The sequence below is a fragment of the Homo sapiens genome, chromosome 10 (assembly GCF_000001405.40).
Source record: "Homo sapiens chromosome 10, GRCh38.p14 Primary Assembly".
In the NCBI taxonomy this organism is placed as follows: Eukaryota; Metazoa; Chordata; class Mammalia; order Primates; family Hominidae; genus Homo; species Homo sapiens.
Genome location: NC_000010.11, coordinates 122,990,668 through 123,008,953, shown reverse-complemented (window position 1 = coordinate 123,008,953; position 18,286 = coordinate 122,990,668). Strand labels below are relative to the sequence as shown.

The following is an 18,286-nucleotide window of genomic DNA, read 5'->3' as shown; positions in this document are numbered from 1 at the left end:
CCACTCAGTACCCGCCCCGCACACACCCCCCCTTAATCCCTGCCCCCTGCTGCCTACGGAACCCCAAGAGAGACAAACAGGCCCCTCCTCGCTTTCGCCCTCCATCCTGCTCACGCGAGACTTGAGCAAGGCAGGGGGGCGGGAAGGGAGTCGGAGACACAACAAAGATGGCGGCGGCGACTGTGACGGTGACGAAGACGGCGGCGGCGGCGACGGCATTTAACAAGGCGGTGTGGTTTACTCCATGCAGTTGTCAGGAGGTAAGTAGCAGGCTGCCGGCTCGGACGGCGGCGACGCGGCAGGACAGGGCGGATAAGAAGGAGCGGCCGGAGACTGGAGCTGGGTTCGTGGCGGGCCGGCTGATCCGGACGGAGACTCAGTTCAGTGGAGGGTCGGGCGTGGTCGGTAGGCGGGCAGGTGATGGCCCGGGACCTCTTTAGCCGGAGGGCAGTGGACTGCGGCGCCTATGGCCGCGAGAACCCCGAGGGAGCGGGGTCTCCTGCTGTCATTGCCTTCGAGCAGGAGCTCGGAGGCTCCGGGGCGGGGACTGTTGCTTGGCTCTGACAGGTGGTTCTGCGGGAGGCGTCCCGAGGTTTGCGTCTTCACGGGGTCCCAGGGGCTGGGAGTCAGCCGGGCGCGGGTCTCCTAGGTGTTTCGAATCCTGGCGAGGATGTCGCTCCGAATCTTGGTGAGGCTGCTGCCCCGACGCCGGTCCCAGGCTGATTGTTGGGAGAAGGACGTTTAAAGCCTTCGTATTTTATCTAATGATCCTGCCCGGATCCGTCTCTACTGCATGGGCACCCTTATTTTAGGAACATGTGAGATTTGAGAAAGACATTGTAGCAAATAACTATTCAGGTTCATTCGGGGTTTAGATCTTTGGATAAACTGTGTGGAGCGCGAGTAGCCAAGCCTAGCATGCTCGATGACTGGATCTGAAGCTAAACAAGTTCTAGCAAACACTAACCACGTGGCCTGCTTAGAGTCCCCTTGATGTGCTGGTCAGAACCCGAAAGACGTGTGACAAGCGGAAGAAGACATAAAGGCGTCTTAAATTGTGTGATCTGAGGAAATTCAGTTTTGAAAGAACAGAATGTATTTAAAACAACTTTTTTTTAAACGTAGGAACTAACAATTTTAAAAATTCAATTTAATTTTGATTTATGTCGTGTTGTCACAACAGCTAAAGGTTATTATTATTGATGAGAGTTCGTTACAGTGAATTGAAATGTCTGGTGTTATTTTCCCCTAGCGGTCCAGGATGTTTCCCAGAAAACCGTAGCTGTTTTGTGTTATGATAGGATAAGAAGGATGGGATTCAGATGTGCCCTTATCGGGTGTGCATGTTTTTTTTGTTTTTGTATTTAAAGCCCTTTCCCATTTCCCTACTTAGGACTATGCGTTGTTTTTATGCAACTACAGCTGTTCAGCAGTACTAAGCTTGACCGTTTTGGAAGTGTGCTGTGACTAAATGAAGTTAATCTTAATTTCTTTAAACTGAAGTTTAACTTAAATTTAGACATTAAAAATCTTGCCAAAAACTAATCCACCAGTGAGAAAACGGTAGTCACACCAGTTATTCTTTGGTGATCCTATGGAGCTTTTGCTGAAGTGAAGCTACTGCTTTGTTCTTTGATTAATCTGTCAGTTCGTTTTCTTTTCAGCTAATGTAATGATAAGATTGGCATAAGTTACTAGCTCATTCAACCTGTAGATGCTAATTAAGTTTTTATCTTAAAGGTTTTGATTTGTGGTGTGCTGTTTGTTTTTTATGCAGACCTCTGTATGGCTTTTCAATTTTAGTTGAAATTCTCTCTCCATGGCCTTTTGGAGTCCCTTGCTGTATCTCCGAAGTAAATTTCAATTACTCTACATTTCATCAATGTTGGAGTGGCAAGAAAAAGGAGGAACAGATTTGGGGTGAAAAGGTTAGATTGTATAATTTCTCTTCTGGATTTCTTTCAACATGGTTTTACTTATGTTTTATTTTTATGTTTTGATTTCTGATTTCTCAGAGCCTCATAATTTCTTTTTTTGCCTTCAAGAGTTTTTGACAGTTCTGAAATCAGGAATTGTGTTCCAATTATTTTGGAAGGCCCATGTTACTCCATAGAAACCAATCCTTATTTGTCAACGTTGTCTGTTTATATGTGTTCTATAGCAGAGTAAATCTCAGTGACCATAATTATTAGGCTATGGAGGGTAAACACATCTATTGAACTGTAATCACTTTATGTGTATAGGCCTGCCTTACCCATAAATTATTATGTAAGTAAATTAGTTGCTAATATTGTATTCTTCCTTATGGTTACCTATGAGAAGTAAGACTTCTCATGAATGCTAGGTGAACGAAACATATCCTGCTGTTCCCTAATCATGTTCTCAAAATTCTCCCACAGTTTATAAAAAAGATAGAAGGAAGAAGGAAGATAGGTTAGAGAGCTTCTTCTCTGGTTGTTTCATAGTTGTGAATGCCTTCTAATTTGCATTTCAGTGCCTGTGTTTTAAATTATTAGCTACTGGTTAAGAGGCTGGGGGGGGTGCACATATATACACACATGTAATTGTGTGTGTGTGCTTGTATATATGCTTGCATTGATCAACAGCTTCCCATTTATGAGACTGAAGAAGAAAGATCAGACGACTTCATACAAAATAAATCCTTTATCAGAAACCAAGGAAGATCGGAAATTAGCCTAAATTACCTACTTGAGGTAGAGGTTTTCCTGTTCTTTGGGATATCAAAGCTTAATTCTCTTATACCTCTTTTCCCCCTACCGGCTTGCATAGCCTCTGGTTGTTTTCTGAAAGCATTGATTTTGAGCCTTGAATAATAAATTGGGGGACGCTACTGGCATGACAATACTTTAGGTATACCCTAGCCAGTTTCTATATAGATATCCACCTACACCCCATGGAATTCCATACTATATTCAACTTAACTTTAATCAGAATAATCACAGGAAGGATTTGGGAATTTTGCTATATCATAAGGAACAATCATCATAAAGTATGGGGATATTGTTCTCTTTGGTTGATATGATTAGATATCTTAGTTCAGGTTGCTGTAACGAATTACCATAGACTGAGTGGTTTAAACAAACATTTATTTCTCACAGTTCTGGAGGCTGGGAAATCTTAATATGAAGGTGCCAGCAGATCAGGTATCTGGGGAGGGCTTGCTTTCTGATTGTATCCTCTCATGGCAAAGAGCAGAGAGGAAGCAAGATCTCTGGATCTCTTCACAAGGCACTAATCCCATTTAGAGGACTTCACCTTTACAACCCAATTATTTCTCAAAGGCCCCACTCCAGATGCCATCAAATTGGGGGTTAGAATTTCAACATATCAGCTTTTGGGGACATAAACATTCAGTCCATGACGATACCAGCAGAAAGAGTACATCTGAGTTGTAATAACACCACCCACATCTGTAATAATACTGGAGAATACTTAAGTATATTTCTTGTTCAGATGACATGATATCATACATTGAAATTTTGTGTTAAGTAAGTAATTTTTTGGCTAACAAACACCAAGGTATTGAGTTCATGTCCAGTATAGGAAAGATACCACTAAAAAAATTATAGCTTGTGGATTTTCTAAAGTATATTTTGTTATGTTTGCAAAGGTTTTAAAATTTATCAATGCCTTAGAGGCATCTCTGGGTATCAGTTAATTTGTGGAGTTCCTAGATTAAACTTTGAGACTTGAGACTGATGATAATTACATCAAAGACAGGAAAATGGCTCAGATAGAAAACCTTTATTTTCTTTCTATAAGAGGAAGTCTTTTGTAGTTCCAGAAATTTTTTTTTTCTTTTAAAAATTAGAGATGAGGTCTCGCTCTGTTGCCTGGACTGGTCTTGAACTCCTGAGCTCAGGCAGTCCTCCCACCTTAGCCTCTGAAAGTGCTGGGATTGTAGTCATAAGCCACCATGTCCAGCCCAGTTTCAGAATTATTACTATTTTTCAATTTATTATGCTTAGAAATATTGACTTGAGATGTAGAAAGCTGAGTTTTGAGCCGAAGACTCTACTTCACTTTAGGCACCTTTCATTCATATATGTCTCTACTATAGACTAGGGCTTTGCAAGCACCTGTCATACCCTGTGTATATGGATATATGGGATAGAGGCCATACAGGTCAAGTGGGCACAAAAATGCTTAGGGACGAAATGACACCTAATTTTTAAATCATGACAGGATGTTTAAGGTTATAAAGCATACTAATATATTTAAAATTCTAATTTAAGAAGAGTTTTTCTTCATGTTTGCAATGTTACAGTGTTCTCTATTTCATAGACATGCTTTTTTTTTTTTTAAGTTTATCATGCATTGTGGTTGAAAAGCAGCACACAATTTATGGCAAGGAACACAGTGAAGTTTATAATGTGACAATGTGATAATAGCCAAGACTGTCAAAATATGCCAGCCATCCTCTGTAATTAGGCTCATTTGTGTTCTTAAACTTGAGATGCATGTATAAAAATATCATTTTCTTCTGCTTGCTTTCTGGCAGTCTTGTGTGTTTTTACTGCACTGTCACGTTGTACTGTAGCAACGTTATGCTTTCTAATCAAGATTTGGTAAGGATTATCTTGCTTCCAGAAGCCTGTCAAAGTATATTCAGACATTTTCCAGGAGAAATGTATAGTTTTCATGTGAACTGATTGGCAAGAAGTGATGCTAAGTTACAATGTAAATACTGGGATTTCTTTCTTAATTATAGCTTTTATAATTAGAACGCAGACAATCTGTAGGGCTATACAGCTTTTACAAATTAAAAAAATATTTTCCCAGATCTTATTCTTGATAGTCTTTTTCACTGGAGCTGACTAGCTTACATTTTCCCACCAAGAGCAAATTTAAAGGACAGATAATCAGCACAATCAACTGTAGTCACAAAACAAATAGTAACACAATGATAAAGAAACAGAGAACTAGTTCAAATAAACATGATAAGATGGGGAAAAAAACAACGGAAACAAATGTGTTCAAAAGCCAACAATAATCCTTAAGATTCAGAAAGCTGAGCCAGACTAAAGCAAGTGATTTAAAGAGGTGGCCTATAAGTAAAATAAGCAAAGATCTGTTTGAGAAATTGCAAAGTGATTTGAAAAATTGCAAATTGGAATTACTTGAGACTAAGGTGGAACATGTTTGTTTCGTTGTAACTAAGAAACAGATGCTCAGTATATTTTTCAACCACGTTGATGAACCCATAGAAAAAGGGGAATAACGGAATCAGGGGTGGTGAGAATTTTAAAATCTAAGTTATAACCATTTTTTCTATTTGCTACAAAAATAATTATTAGAAAAATAGCCGCCATTTTCTGATAGCCTACCATATGTGATACATGTCACAATATGCTTTATGTATACTTACCTATAAAACTTAAGATAGCACTGCAAGTTGGATTATGATTCCATTTTACAAAATAGGAAACTAAGGCTGAGAGAGGTCCCTGTTCATAGTCTTAAAGTTGTCCCTCCATATCTGGTAGGTACTGGTTCCAGGACCCCTGTAGATAGCAAAATTTGCGGGTGCTCCAGTCCTTTATATAAAATGGCTTAGTATTTGCATATAACTCACAATCTCATCCTCTTGCATACTTTAAGCTCTAGATTATTTATAATACCTAATACAATGTAAATGCTATGTAAATAGTTACACTGTATTGTTTAGGGAATTATGACCCCCCCCCCCACAAAAGTCTGGTGAAACCCCCTCTCTACTAAAAATACAAAAAATATCAGCCGGGTGTGGTAGCGGGCACCTGTAATCCCAGCTACTCTGGAGGCTAAGGCAGGAGAATTGCTTGAACCTGGGAGGCAGAGGTTGCAGTGAGCCGAGATCACGCCATTGCACTCCAGCCTGGGCAACAAGAACGAAACTCCGTCTCAAAAAAAAAAAAAGAAAAGAAAAAGTCTGTACGTGTTTAATATAGATGCAACCATCCATTTTTTCCAAATAATCTTGTTTTGCAGTTGGTTGAATCAACAGATAACAGAACCTGTGGATATAGAGTTGACTATACTCTACTTGTCCAGAGGATAAACTTTCAGTAGTCTCAACTTCCTAGACAATTTTCTAAAAAATAGGCTTTTCTACCTGAAAAGGGGTAGTAATACTAATAATGTTTTGGTTTTTTTTTTTTTTTTTTAGACGGAGTCTTGCTCTGTCTTCCAGGCTGGAGTGCAGTGGCACAATCTCAGCTTACTGCAGCCTCCACCTCCTGGGTTCAATCAATTCTTCTGCCACCACGCCTGGCTAATTTTTTTGTATTTTTAGTAGAGACGGGGTTTCACCATGCTGGCCAGGCTGGTCTCGAACTCCTGACCTCGTGACCTGCCTGCCTCGGCCTCCCAAAGTGCTGGAATTACAGATATGAGCCACCGTGCCTGGCACTAATAATTTTTTTTTTTTTTTTGGAGACAGAATTTTGCTCTGTCGCCAGGCTGGAGTGCAGTGGTGCGATCTGGGCTCACTGCAACCTCTGCCTCCCGGGTTCAAGCGATTCTCCTGCCTCAGCCTACCGAAAAGCAGGGATTACAGGCGCCTGCTGCCATGCCCGGCTAATTTTTTTGGTATTTTTAGTAGAGATGGGGTTTCACCATGTTGGCCAGCATGGTCTCCATCTCTTGACCTCGTGATCCACCCACCTCGGCCTCCCAAAGTGCTGGGATTACAAGCGTGAGCCACTGCGCCCGGCCACTAATAATTTTTAAAAGCCCCTAGAACTACCGTAGCTTCTAAAAAGGGAGGAAAGGAACGATTCACAAGTATTGAATTAAGAAAAGAGAATTCAGTTACCTGTAAGTCCTTATTTGGCTAAATATGTTTGGAACAAAGAAGAGACTAGATGTGAAGAGAGAAGACAAGAAGTACGAAAATAAGATAGATCAGTCTGAAGCCAGGAAACAGGGAAAACAAAAACAGCCCTGTTACTGAGTGGTTGTAAAGTACAATAATTCATATTAATGGTATGTCAAATGTTGGTCTATTTCCAGTAGATTTCGAGTTAAGTCAAAGAAGAAGTTTTGATTCTTAAAAAGTTGGTCATATTTTTGTAAATTGGAAAATCTGCTTTTGCAGAACCCCCTCATTCCTCAACCCTACAGTTCTACTATTTAAAAACTTAGGCTGAAAAGGCCCAAGAACAGCCTATTCTTGAAGAAGAAAAACAAAGCAGGGGGACTTAAATTACTGTGATAGCAAGACTTATTATTAAGAGTATCTGGTATGGCAGCAAGGACAGATAGGCTAGTGGAACAGAACAGAGAATCCAGAAGCAGAGCCACATACGTGCATATAACCATTTGATTTAAAAAGAAGACATCAGAGCTTAGTAGAGAAAGGCCGATCTGTTAGGTACACATTGCTGGGACAGTTGGATATCTCTTTGGAAAAAAGTATGCTTTGACTCTTATCTCACACCATACACAAAACTCAAGTCCAGATAAAAATATGAAAGGTAAAATAAAAAGCATTTAGAAGAAAGTATAGGAGAACATCTTCAAGTAAGATGTAGGCAAGGATTTCTTAACTAGGACACAAACAACTCTAAATGTAAAGGATAAAAATGGGTAAATTGTACTATATTAAGAACTTCTGTTCATCAAAAATTACCATTAAGAAAGTGAAGGCCGGGCGCAGTGGCTCACGTCTGTAATCCCAGCCCTTTGGGAGGCCGAGGTGGGCAGATCACAAGGTCGGGAGATCGAGACCATCCTGGCTAACACGGTGAAACCACATCTCTACTAAAAATACAAAAAAATTAACTGGGCGTGGTGGCGGACACCTGTAGTCCCAGCTACTCGGGAGGCTGAGGCAGGTGGCGTGAACCTGGGAGGTGGAGCTTGCAGTGAGCCGAGATCACGGCACTGCACCCCAGCCTGGGCGACAGAGTGAGATTCTGTTTCAAAAAAAAAAAAAGAAAAGAAAAGAAGAGAAAACGAAAAGGCAACCACAGTGGGAGATACTTAAGATGCACATATCCTAATAAAGGACTCATTATAAAGCATTCTTCCATATTAGAAAAAGACAACACAATAGAAAAATAAGCAAAAGGTATGAGCAGACATTATACAACAGAGGGTATCTAAGTGGTTAATTAGTATATATTAAAAAGTTTACATCTTCATTAGTCACCAAGGAATGTAAATTAAAAGTAATGTGATACCACTAGACACCCACCAGAACGGCTAAAACGAAAAAGGCAAAACATGCCCAAGTATTGTCAAGGATGTGGAGCAGCAGCAGTTTTGTTTACTGCTAGTGGGAGTGTAAATTGCTATAATCACTTTGAAAACCTATTTGACATTATCTAAAACTGAATATATGCATGCCTTTGATCCAGCAGTTTCACTTCTATACAACCAACAGAAATATGTACGTAATCAAAAAACGTGTAGTAATATGTTCATAGAAACTTTATTCACAGCAGCCAATTACTGGAAATTACCCAAATGATCTAAAAACAGTATAAGAGATAAATGAGTTGTGGCATGGTCATACAACAGACTCCAGCAGTAAATTTGAGCAAACTTCAGTTGCATGCAACAATATGGATGAATCTTACAATTACAATGTTGAGTGACAGAAGCCAGACAAAGGTTCATAGTGTGTGATTCCATTTACATAAAGCTGAAGAACAGACAAAACTAATCTACAGAGTCAGAAGTCAGGATGGCTGTAACCCTTGTCAGGGCAGAGGGTCCTAGCATTGGAAGGGTACACGAGGGGGGTTTCTGGGATGCCGGCATCCTTCTGTTTCTTGATTGTGGTGCTGATTTTATGAATGTGTTCATTTTGTGACAATTCATTGAGCTCTGCTCTTATGATTTATGTGCTTTTCTATATATGTACAAGACTTCAACAAAAAGTTAAGCATATATGCTGAAAGTGAGTAATTTTTTGTCTACCACTGGCTACTAAAGATGGAAGCTTGTTTAGATGGAAAATTATTCATTAAATAGTTTGAGTTTAGAAAAAGAAGATTTTATAAGGTATATTTACCAGAGAATTGTACTTATTTGCATAAAAATTGTTTTTCCTGGAAGAAAAGACCTTTTTTATCCCAGGTGCTAGACTTCATCTTATTCTTACTAGAAAACTTTTTTGGCTATTTTATTTGTGAATTTGGGCCATAAACCTATGTGAAGACCAGCTTGTGATTGCAGAACACACAAGAGACTTTCCCTTTCTACACTACGGTCAGGGATTTTCTTTTACTTTTTTATTTTTCCCTAGTCTTGGAGTGGATAGGATGATAGGTAGTAGAGGTGGTGATTTGGATATTTCTAGAGCAGGGGTTGGGAAGCTAAGGCCTGTAGGCCAAATCTGGCTCAACGCCTGTTGTTATAAAGTCTAATTGGAACATAGCCCCACCCATTTGTTTACATACTGTCTGTGGCTGCCTATTGTCTGTGGCTTCTTACCGTGACACAGTTGAGTAATTGCAGCAAAGATGAGCATGGCTTGCAAAGCCTAAAATATTTACTAACTGGCCCTTCATAAAAACTTTGCAACCCCTAGTTCTAGACCACTTATTTGCAGACTACTCATTCATGTGAACACTATGTCTTAAGAGCCTTTGCTGGTAGTTACTAGCTGCATGCAGCTATTTCTATTTAAATTAATAACATTAAAAACTCAGGTCATATGTATTAGCCAAATTTCAAGTGCCTCAGTAGCTATATGTGGCTAGTAGCAACTGCGTAGGAATAGCACAGATAAGAAACATGTCCATCATCCAGAAAATAGTCTCCTTTTGTCAACCAGGTTGGAGTCCAGTGGTGCAATCACGGCTCACTGCAGCCTTGACCACTCAGACCCAAGCAATTCTCCTGCCTCAGCCTCCTGAGTAGCTGGGACCATCAGCATGTGCCACCACTCAGCTAATTAAAAACACTTTTTTTTGTAGGGACAAGTTCTCCCTATGTTGGTCTCCGGTCTCCTTGGTTTCTTGTCTTCTTCATCAATAATCTCTGCTTGTGTTCTTATTTATTTAATCTGAACTTGTTTTCTCTTTTTTTCTGCCTTTGAAATTTCTTCCCATCCTCTGTGACTAAGTTTGAATCCGTATTTATATTTAATTATTAAATATATTGATTTTTTACCATTTTGTGTATGTCTTTAGTTCACCAGTAAGATTATAAGATGCTGAAAGGCAGGCACTGTGTTTTCTCTTGCTTTATATAGTGTCTTGCACAAAATAGCTTTTGTCATTTGTTTGCTATGTACTAGATCTCCCTAAATAGTGTAAAATTGTTTCAGTTTTGTTTTCTAGGTCTAACAAACTGTAAATGTTAAAAAAGCAAAGATGGGTGAAAAAAAACCAGAGCCTTTGGACTTCGTGAAAGATTTTCAGGAATACCTGACTCAGCAGACCCATCACGTGAACATGATTTCTGGATCAGTTAGTGGGGACAAAGAAGCAGAGGCTCTTCAGGGAGGTAGACTCATTTTAATACTACTAAGTAATTCACTTTTTATACACGTACTATGATTGCGTGTAGCTGTTACTGTGAAGACCACTGCGCATTAATGTGAATCATTCTGTTTTTTCTAGAAAGATACAGGGCATTTTTTCCCCCTTTTTTAAACATATCAGACTTCTGCTGGAGAGTACTTAACATGGTCTGGAGATGCATTATGGTCTTGTTGGAAGGTTAGGGGCTCCAAATACCCTTCCTGTCCTCCAGTTTTTATGAGCTACCATTAGACACAAAGAACCCAAAGGGGATTGGAATATCAGCTTCACTATACAAACCATTAGGCCATCAGGAAATCTGGATTCGACCTGAGATAAAAATAGGGGTTTCAGTTTCTTCTCTCTTAAAATGAAGAAAGGGCTGACCATGTTTACCTATCCAAGAAGAGAAATGAAAATAGAGAAAGTGGTGACCTCCTTGAGCCTGCTAGAGGTAAATTTTGTCTAATTTGCTTGCCACAAAAAACTGGAATTTATTCCTAACCTAGCTCGGAGGTCAGCAAACTATAGCCCGTGGGCCCCATCTGGACTGCTGTTTTTGTATGGCCTGCAAGCTAAGAATGGTTTTTACATTTAAAGATGGTTTTAAAAGTGTCAAAAGGAGAATAATGTAATGATACATGAAAATTCTGTGAAGTTCAAACTTGAGTCCACATAAGTAAAATTTAATTGGAACACAGATATGCTCATTTGTTTACATATTTTCTGTAGCTGTTTTTGTTTGTTTTGCTAAAACAGCAGAGTTGAGCAGTTGTGGTAGAGACCATATGGCCCACAAAGCCTGAAGTATTTACTATTTCATGCCTATAGAAAAAGTTTGCTGACCCCTGACCTAGATAGTCTGGGTACGGCCTTATAATGCAGGGACTAGCAGCAGGGACCAGGCATCACCCGGGAGCTTGTTAAAAATACAAAACACCAGACACCACCCCAGATCTACTGAATTATAATCTGTGTTTTAATAAGATCCCCCAAGTAATTCACATACACATTAAAATGTGATAGTGACTGGCTTGGGAAAGCAGTGGGAGAGAGGAAGACACTGAGCCTTGTCCCTCGAATGCAGTGTAGCCCTCTTGGATATTGGTCTTGTCTCAACCAGCAGAATCACTTCTCCTAGTGAGGAGTGAGGAACCGGTGAAGCAGGGGGCTTGAATTGTGCATGCCAGGACTGTTACCTCCTGAAATGGAGTAGACCTTTTCCCATGAAGCTGTAGGAATGGAAATTTCCCTCCTAACGCACAGATTTCCAAACAGGATTCAAGAGACCAGGGTTGTAGTCCCAGCCATTTGCCGATTTTCCTGATTATGAGCATCAGGTCTCTTCAGTTTCTTTCTACAAAAAAGTAGTCAGATTAGATTAAAAGCAAACAGCCAAACATGTTTTATCTCTGAGATTCTTAAAACCTTAACCTTCAGAGGTATCAGGGACGATACTTTCCTTTATGGGCTTAATTAGAATTTTAAGATCCTAAATGGAACAGAGATCTAGAACGTACATATAAACACTGGGATGTGGAAAACTTATTCACTGCTTCAGACTAAAATAAATAGAGTTAGGGTTTTGGAGATTCTTTGACTGCCAGTTTCAGTTGTAGAAATAGCGAGGGTGCTAAACACCTGTGTGTAACTGTGCCATCACTCTCCAGTGAATCTCTTTATTCCCCTCCCTCCTCACCTGTTCACTTCTTCAAAAACATGTTAAGGACCAGTACAATGTGTGTGTAAGTAATTTTGTTTTCTTTGTTTTTGAGACACAGTCTTGCTCTGTCGCCCAGGCTGGAGTACAGTGGCACAATCTTGGCTCACTGCAACCTCTGCCTCCTGGATTCCAGCGATTCTCATGCCTCAGCCTCCTGAGTAGCTGGGACTACAGGTGTGCACCACCATGCCCAGCTAATTTTTGTAATTTTTTTTTTTTTTTTTAAGTAGAGACAGGGTTTTGCCATGTTGGCTAGGCTGGTCTCTAACTCCTGGCCTCAAGCTATCCCCCCACCTCTGCCTCCCAAAGTTCTGGGATTACAGGTATGAGCCACTGCACTGGCCTTGTGTAAATAATTTGAGATCCCCCAATAAAAGGTTCTCAGAATATAATACAGAATGTATTACTGCTTTTGTATAAAATTAGCCTCAGTTCAGAAAGTCTGTTATAAAATGGACTTAACTTTTGTGAGAAGTGAACTGTCAATTTATAAGATTTTTCAACCACTTAAAACTGAAATGCTAAATTGAGTTGATTCTGAGATGCATAATTTCTTTTGCGGTACTTTGTTTATAGCTGGAACAGATGGTGATCAAAATGGACTTGATCACCCATCTGTTGAAGTTTCCTTGGATGAAAACTCAGGAATGTTAGTAGACGGGTTTGAAAGGACCTTTGATGGGAAGCTTAAGTGTCGGTACTGCAACTATGCCAGCAAAGGAACAGCCCGGCTTATTGAACACATCAGAATCCACACAGGTAATGGAAAGACAGCTGGAAAAAGCATTTCTGTGAGGGCAGGAGAGGGGCCAAGGGGGGCAGGTTGGTTTGTCATAGAAATAGTTTTAATATTCAAAAATGAAGGTTTATGTAAAGTTCGAATAAATGGGAAAGTTACTCCATTTTTCAAAGCAACAACATAACAACATACAAACAGGTCAGAAGTGATGCCCTTTGTAGATCCTCTCCTTCCTTAGCCGTGTTTCCCTCTTGATCCAAATAATCTCTCAACATCTGCCTGCCTCTCAGATTGGGAAGGAATAATGCTAAAGCACTGCGATGTGATAAAATGTTTTAATCTTTATCCTATTACGTTTCATTTGCCGAAAGGGGGAAAGGTTTCAGAAAGTATACAGTTGCAGATGGTACTGCTAATCCCAGATCTCACTTTAGCTGTCCCTTCTGAGAAACTTTCCCAACTACATCTGCCCTCTGCCCAAGACCAGGTCAGACGTCCTTCCTGTGTGCTTCATGCATCCTGTGCTCATTCATCACATCATTGTAGCCTGAGAGCCTCTTGAGGACAGGGCAATTGTGACAAGACCATCTTTGTACCCCCAGAGCCTAGGAGGGCATGTGACACATACTTACTAGATGAATGACTCTAAATCTCATATTCCAAATGTTTATTTCACATAATTGGGCAGTCTTCAGTTAACAACATTAACTATAGTTGTTCCTTCTGGCAGCTGAAGAGTAGGAAGATGGAGGAGAAGCACTAGCAATTTTGAAGGGATGCTTTGCATAACTCAGACTAGCAAGCCCATTTCAATTCTGAGCTTTCTATTTCATATAAGGACTTTAAAAAAAGCTTTTTTTGTATTTTTTTTTCTGTGAGCAAAGGGTATGCATATGTGTGTGTGTGAATATGAATGTATATAAATGTATACATGAATATATAACTGAGACATACTTTTGATAAACTCATTATTATGTAAGACTATTACTAGAATATTTCAATTGTACTGTTTCTTCTCTCTAAATGCATTCGAAGCCATAACAGTTTTTATACTGTATTGACTAATACAACATCAATGCATATTTCAGGTTGTTGCTGATGAGTTCTTAAGCTTTATTTCAATTTGTGGGTTTATTTACAAATTTTAACAATCTCATATGCTATGCAAATATGACTTTCTGAAAGCATTTTCTTTTTGATCAATTTCCAGTTGTCCAATGAATGGACAAGCAAAACTTTCCATAAATGAACTACTCTTGTAGTTTCTCCATCATTTTTCTTTTGAAACAGGTGAAAAACCTCATCGATGTCATCTTTGTCCATTTGCATCTGCTTATGAGCGTCATCTGGAAGCCCATATGCGTTCTCATACTGGAGAAAAACCATACAAATGTGAATTATGTTCCTTCCGCTGCAGTGATCGAAGTAACTTGTCCCATCATCGAAGGCGCAAGCATAAAATGGTACCAATTAAAGGTACTAGGTCTTCCTTAAGCAGCAAGAAAATGTGGGGGGTTTTACAGAAGAAAACAAGCAATCTGGGCTATAGCAGAAGAGCACTAATCAACTTAAGTCCACCTTCCATGGTGGTTCAGAAACCAGACTACCTTAACGATTTTACCCACGAAATCCCAAATATCCAGACTGACTCCTATGAAAGTATGGCAAAAACCACACCAACTGGTGGCCTTCCAAGGGACCCCCAAGAACTCATGGTTGATAACCCTTTGAATCAGCTCTCGACTCTAGCAGGGCAGTTGTCCAGTCTGCCACCCGAAAACCAAAACCCTGCATCCCCTGATGTAGTTCCCTGCCCTGATGAAAAGCCTTTCATGATTCAGCAGCCCTCTACCCAAGCAGTAGTTTCTGCCGTATCAGCAAGTATTCCTCAGAGCTCCTCTCCCACAAGCCCAGAACCTCGGCCATCCCATAGTCAAAGGAACTATAGTCCAGTGGCAGGTCCAAGCAGTGAGCCAAGTGCCCACACGAGCACTCCCAGCATAGGAAACAGCCAGCCAAGCACCCCAGCCCCAGCCCTGCCGGTCCAGGACCCTCAGCTTCTGCACCACTGCCAGCACTGTGATATGTACTTTGCAGACAACATCCTTTACACTATTCATATGGGATGTCATGGGTATGAAAATCCTTTTCAGTGTAATATATGTGGATGCAAATGTAAAAACAAGTATGATTTTGCCTGTCATTTTGCAAGAGGGCAACATAACCAACATTGATTGAAAATAGTCATATTTTACTTAGTTTTGCTGTTTTTGTGGTTTGGTTTTTTTTGTTTTTTGTTTTGGTCATCCCTAATAAAGTGTCTGCTAATTCAAGGCTTATACATTATATTTATAGAATATAAATTTGTCAGTGGAATAAAATTTCCCCTTTTTTTCATAAAAATCTGGTCAGGGTCATTTATATATTAGAACAGTTAGACACATTGGTGTCTCTTTTTTCCTTTCCTTTCGACATTGGAGAATTGGAGTGCAGTCATAATCTTACAAGATGTTCATTTGAATTTCTCACATTTATGGTCCATAAAAACTTCAAGGCTTATCCATACTTTTGATGTTTCAATATGCATTGAACTGGATGTTATTTCTGCCATATTTCAAAATGGTAGAATAAATTACAGAATTTATTACTACTCATTTCAGTGTTTAGTACAGAAATTGCCTTAAAAATTGCTATTAATTGAAATATCATTTAGTTCACATTCCTTAAGTTGAATCGGTAGTTTCATTTCAACTGATAATAGTAAAGCTATTTCAGTTTAGTAAAAATTTTCTTTTTTCCACAAGAGGAAATGTAAAACAGTTAAGACTTGAAATTGAAAATTCTTTTAATATTTAAAATAACTTGTTTATTCAATGTCTAAACACATGTCAGTTTTCCACTGGATTTTTATTTTCACAGGTAAATACACTAGAGTGCTAGATGCCTTTTTCCCCTGTCAGTTTGACTTTCATTTAAATCCTTCATTCTGATATCATTACTGTTAGGTGAGGTGGATAACTATAATGAGAATCTCTTATTCTTCCTATTCCTTTGATGACCAAAGAGATAAAGTGAAGTCATCCTTATTATTAAAATGCAGCCTCCAAACAAATTTCTCAAGATTCCTTTTCCTTCCTTCTATCCATTTTCTGCCCATAATTTCCAAGAAAAGGTGGGTATGGAAACACATGAGAGAATGTGATAGTGAAGTCATATTTACAAAACTGAGAACATGTCCAAAATGGATTCTTGTCTCCTCTTCAGAATTAGCCATTTAAAATATTTTCTGTGACTTCAAATTGTAATTCTTATTTGCAGTTTTACCAGTCTTCATGTACAGTGACGAAACTGTGTAGAAACTAAATCATCGCTTTAGTAAGAAAGGATAAAAAGGTGTGGAAGTGAATATAAAATGCATCTAAACATGACATTTAATTTGTTTATAAAAATAAGACTTACTAAATATAGAGTAATTCATTTTGAATAGGAGGCTATTGTTTTTATATTGTGTAATAACTCACGTACTCTGAAGAGAGCTTGGTCAAACAATAAAATACATTGTTACTAACTTGGTTTCTTTTCTGTGTACTTTGCAAAAATTCTATTTTTAATTTTGTTCATATGTTGAATGTGCCCCTAATTGGCATCTTAAAGAGAATAGTAAGCATCTATTAACCAAAAAAGAACTCTAATAGTAAAGGAAAGGGAAATATTGGTGGTATGTACCCACAAAACCCCCAAGTGCCAAGTTAATGGAATCTCTGCTTTCCCTTTCAGATGCTAGAAAGCCACTGTAATGAGTTCTTGCAGTTTAGCATCCAGTCTAAGCTACTGCATTGTTTAAAGAGCAGCATCAAGGACACTTTCTCCAAACTGGAACTCTCTTCTTTGTCAAATCTTGTACTTTAAAATTCTACAATTCTGTTACATTGTTGTTTAAATCACAGACTGCTCAGATCCATTTTACTGCAGTAGTTTCCAAGTGTGTAACTTGGCTTTAGTATTTATCAGTTGCCAGAAAGAAACAGGTTGTCATTTGGAAGTTTTTGTGGTTATTTTTTCCCATTTTTATTCTTCAGATAAAAGCAGTACCCCAAAATAGAAAATGAAAATTTTCATGAAACAAAGAGAACTCCCTTGTTAAAACCAGCTTATTAACTCTGTATTCTGTCAAATGCATTTTTTTCTAACAACTGACCATGGATGTTGTGAAGGTGCATTTTAATTTAAACATGGAAAAGATTTTTTTCATAATTACATACTAGAATGTAAAATTATAATTTTGCCATGACTTAAAGAGCACAGTTGATATCCCAAAGGTTTTGATGCTAAGAAGCTACAGTTATTCTAAATGCACTAAAATGTTTGAGGCAAATCTACCTTAGAGGCTTTTTTGGTATGGTATTTTTTAAAATATTTAGATTTTATTTAAATTTCCTGTGAGTTATTCTGTATTTGAAAAGATGTTCGTGTCTTCCCCTCTGTATTGAATGTTTCACTCATTTTATTTTTAATCAAATATTTTATAGAAATGAGTTGTTGGGAAGAGTTTAACATGCACTATTTATAGTACTTTGCCGTTAACAGGCAATGTTCTGAAACTAAATTTATTTTTGTTCAGTGAACATAAGTTTAGATTTTTAAAGTTGGTAGATAATTTATCTCCACTAATATTTTTTTAAGAAACTGTGAAGAGATTAACTGGGAATAATTTTATTTCAGATTTTACTAATGTAGTATGTAGCTACAACTTCTTGAACTTCAAGTTAAGGCTAGACATTTACTTTGAAAAAATTCCACTGGGTGTTTCCAGGGCTATTTCATTTTAGAAATAAGTGTTTGCCATTCTTCTGCAAAAACTGGACAAGGGGAATACTACAAAAAATACTCAGAGATAAAATCCTCATTTCAAGTTCTACAAAATATTTATCAAATGAATGTTAATTTTTTTTTAATTCCCTGCTAAAGACGTTTTCATTAGTCTTAGAGGGTATATGCTTTCTAGAACTTGTTTTTGTTAACATGTGCTTTGATGTAAAGAACATATTTTGTATGCAAAACATAACTTGCATTATGGTTGTACAATACACTATATTGTTTAGGGATTCCGGAAAGCAGTTTAATGCAGAAATAACTATATCTAGTATGCAGTTCATATTGTGAATGAAGCTTTGCTTTTGTAATAAATAAATAAGACTTTCTAATGACCTTGGTTTTTCTTTTTTGGAAAATAAGATCAAATTAGTGTTTTAGTAATTTTCCACTAGTGAAATGTTAAGTTAATGAAAGAAATAGATTTTATGACTACACTGCTTTGAATTTCTAAAATACCTTACCTGAGAAGAT

At 38.4% G+C, this 18,286-nt stretch overlaps 1 protein-coding gene across 14 annotated transcripts, besides 3 other annotated features; it reads left to right on the top strand.

Moving 5' to 3' along the window:
* Positions 43-372: an enhancer, noted in NCBI's record as "active region_4145". NCBI's record gives its function as "activates an Ori minimal core promoter by ATAC-STARR-seq in GM12878 lymphoblastoid cells {active_cell/tissue: GM12878}" and the evidence as "EXISTENCE:reporter gene assay evidence [ECO:0000049][PMID:35858748]".
* Positions 159-18,148, top strand: IKZF5 (IKAROS family zinc finger 5). 14 transcript variants are annotated; one of them, XM_047425647.1, is made up of 6 exons: positions 159-260; positions 1,804-1,928; positions 2,607-2,714; positions 10,283-10,461; positions 12,778-12,960; positions 14,231-18,148. In XM_047425647.1, exons 4-6 carry the CDS (start codon positions 10,329-10,331, stop codon positions 15,172-15,174), a joined length of 1,260 nt encoding a protein of 419 aa, XP_047281603.1. In that variant the 5' UTR covers positions 159-260; positions 1,804-1,928; positions 2,607-2,714; positions 10,283-10,328; the 3' UTR covers positions 15,175-18,148. The 14 variants fall into 14 exon arrangements, with proteins under 14 accessions (XP_047281603.1, XP_006718010.1, NP_001359056.1 ...); XM_006717947.5 differs by having other exon boundaries at positions 1,778-1,928; positions 10,296-10,461; NM_001372127.1 differs by having other exon boundaries at positions 1,778-1,928; positions 14,231-18,147.
* Positions 653-882: an enhancer, noted in NCBI's record as "active region_4144". NCBI's record gives its function as "activates an Ori minimal core promoter by ATAC-STARR-seq in GM12878 lymphoblastoid cells {active_cell/tissue: GM12878}" and the evidence as "EXISTENCE:reporter gene assay evidence [ECO:0000049][PMID:35858748]".
* Positions 7,571-7,757: a silencer, noted in NCBI's record as "fragment chr10:124760713-124760899 (GRCh37/hg19 assembly coordinates)". NCBI's record gives its function as "represses an EF-1alpha promoter that drives an FKBP-Casp9 reporter gene in an ReSE screen in K562 erythroleukemia cells {active_cell/tissue: K562}" and the evidence as "EXISTENCE:reporter gene assay evidence [ECO:0000049][PMID:32094911]".

Excerpts from the sequence above, each read along its gene's own strand:
- IKZF5 (XM_047425646.1), top strand. The coding sequence starts at position 10,329 with ATGGGTGAAAAAAAACCAGAGCCTTTGGACTTCGTGAAAGATTTTCAG. Across the intron at positions 10,462-12,777 it reads AGCAGAGGCTCTTCAGGGAG|CTGGAACAGATGGTGATCAA; the intron begins GTAGACTCATTT and ends CTTTGTTTATAG. Across the intron at positions 12,961-14,230 it reads ACACATCAGAATCCACACAG|GTGAAAAACCTCATCGATGT; the intron begins GTAATGGAAAGA and ends CTTTTGAAACAG.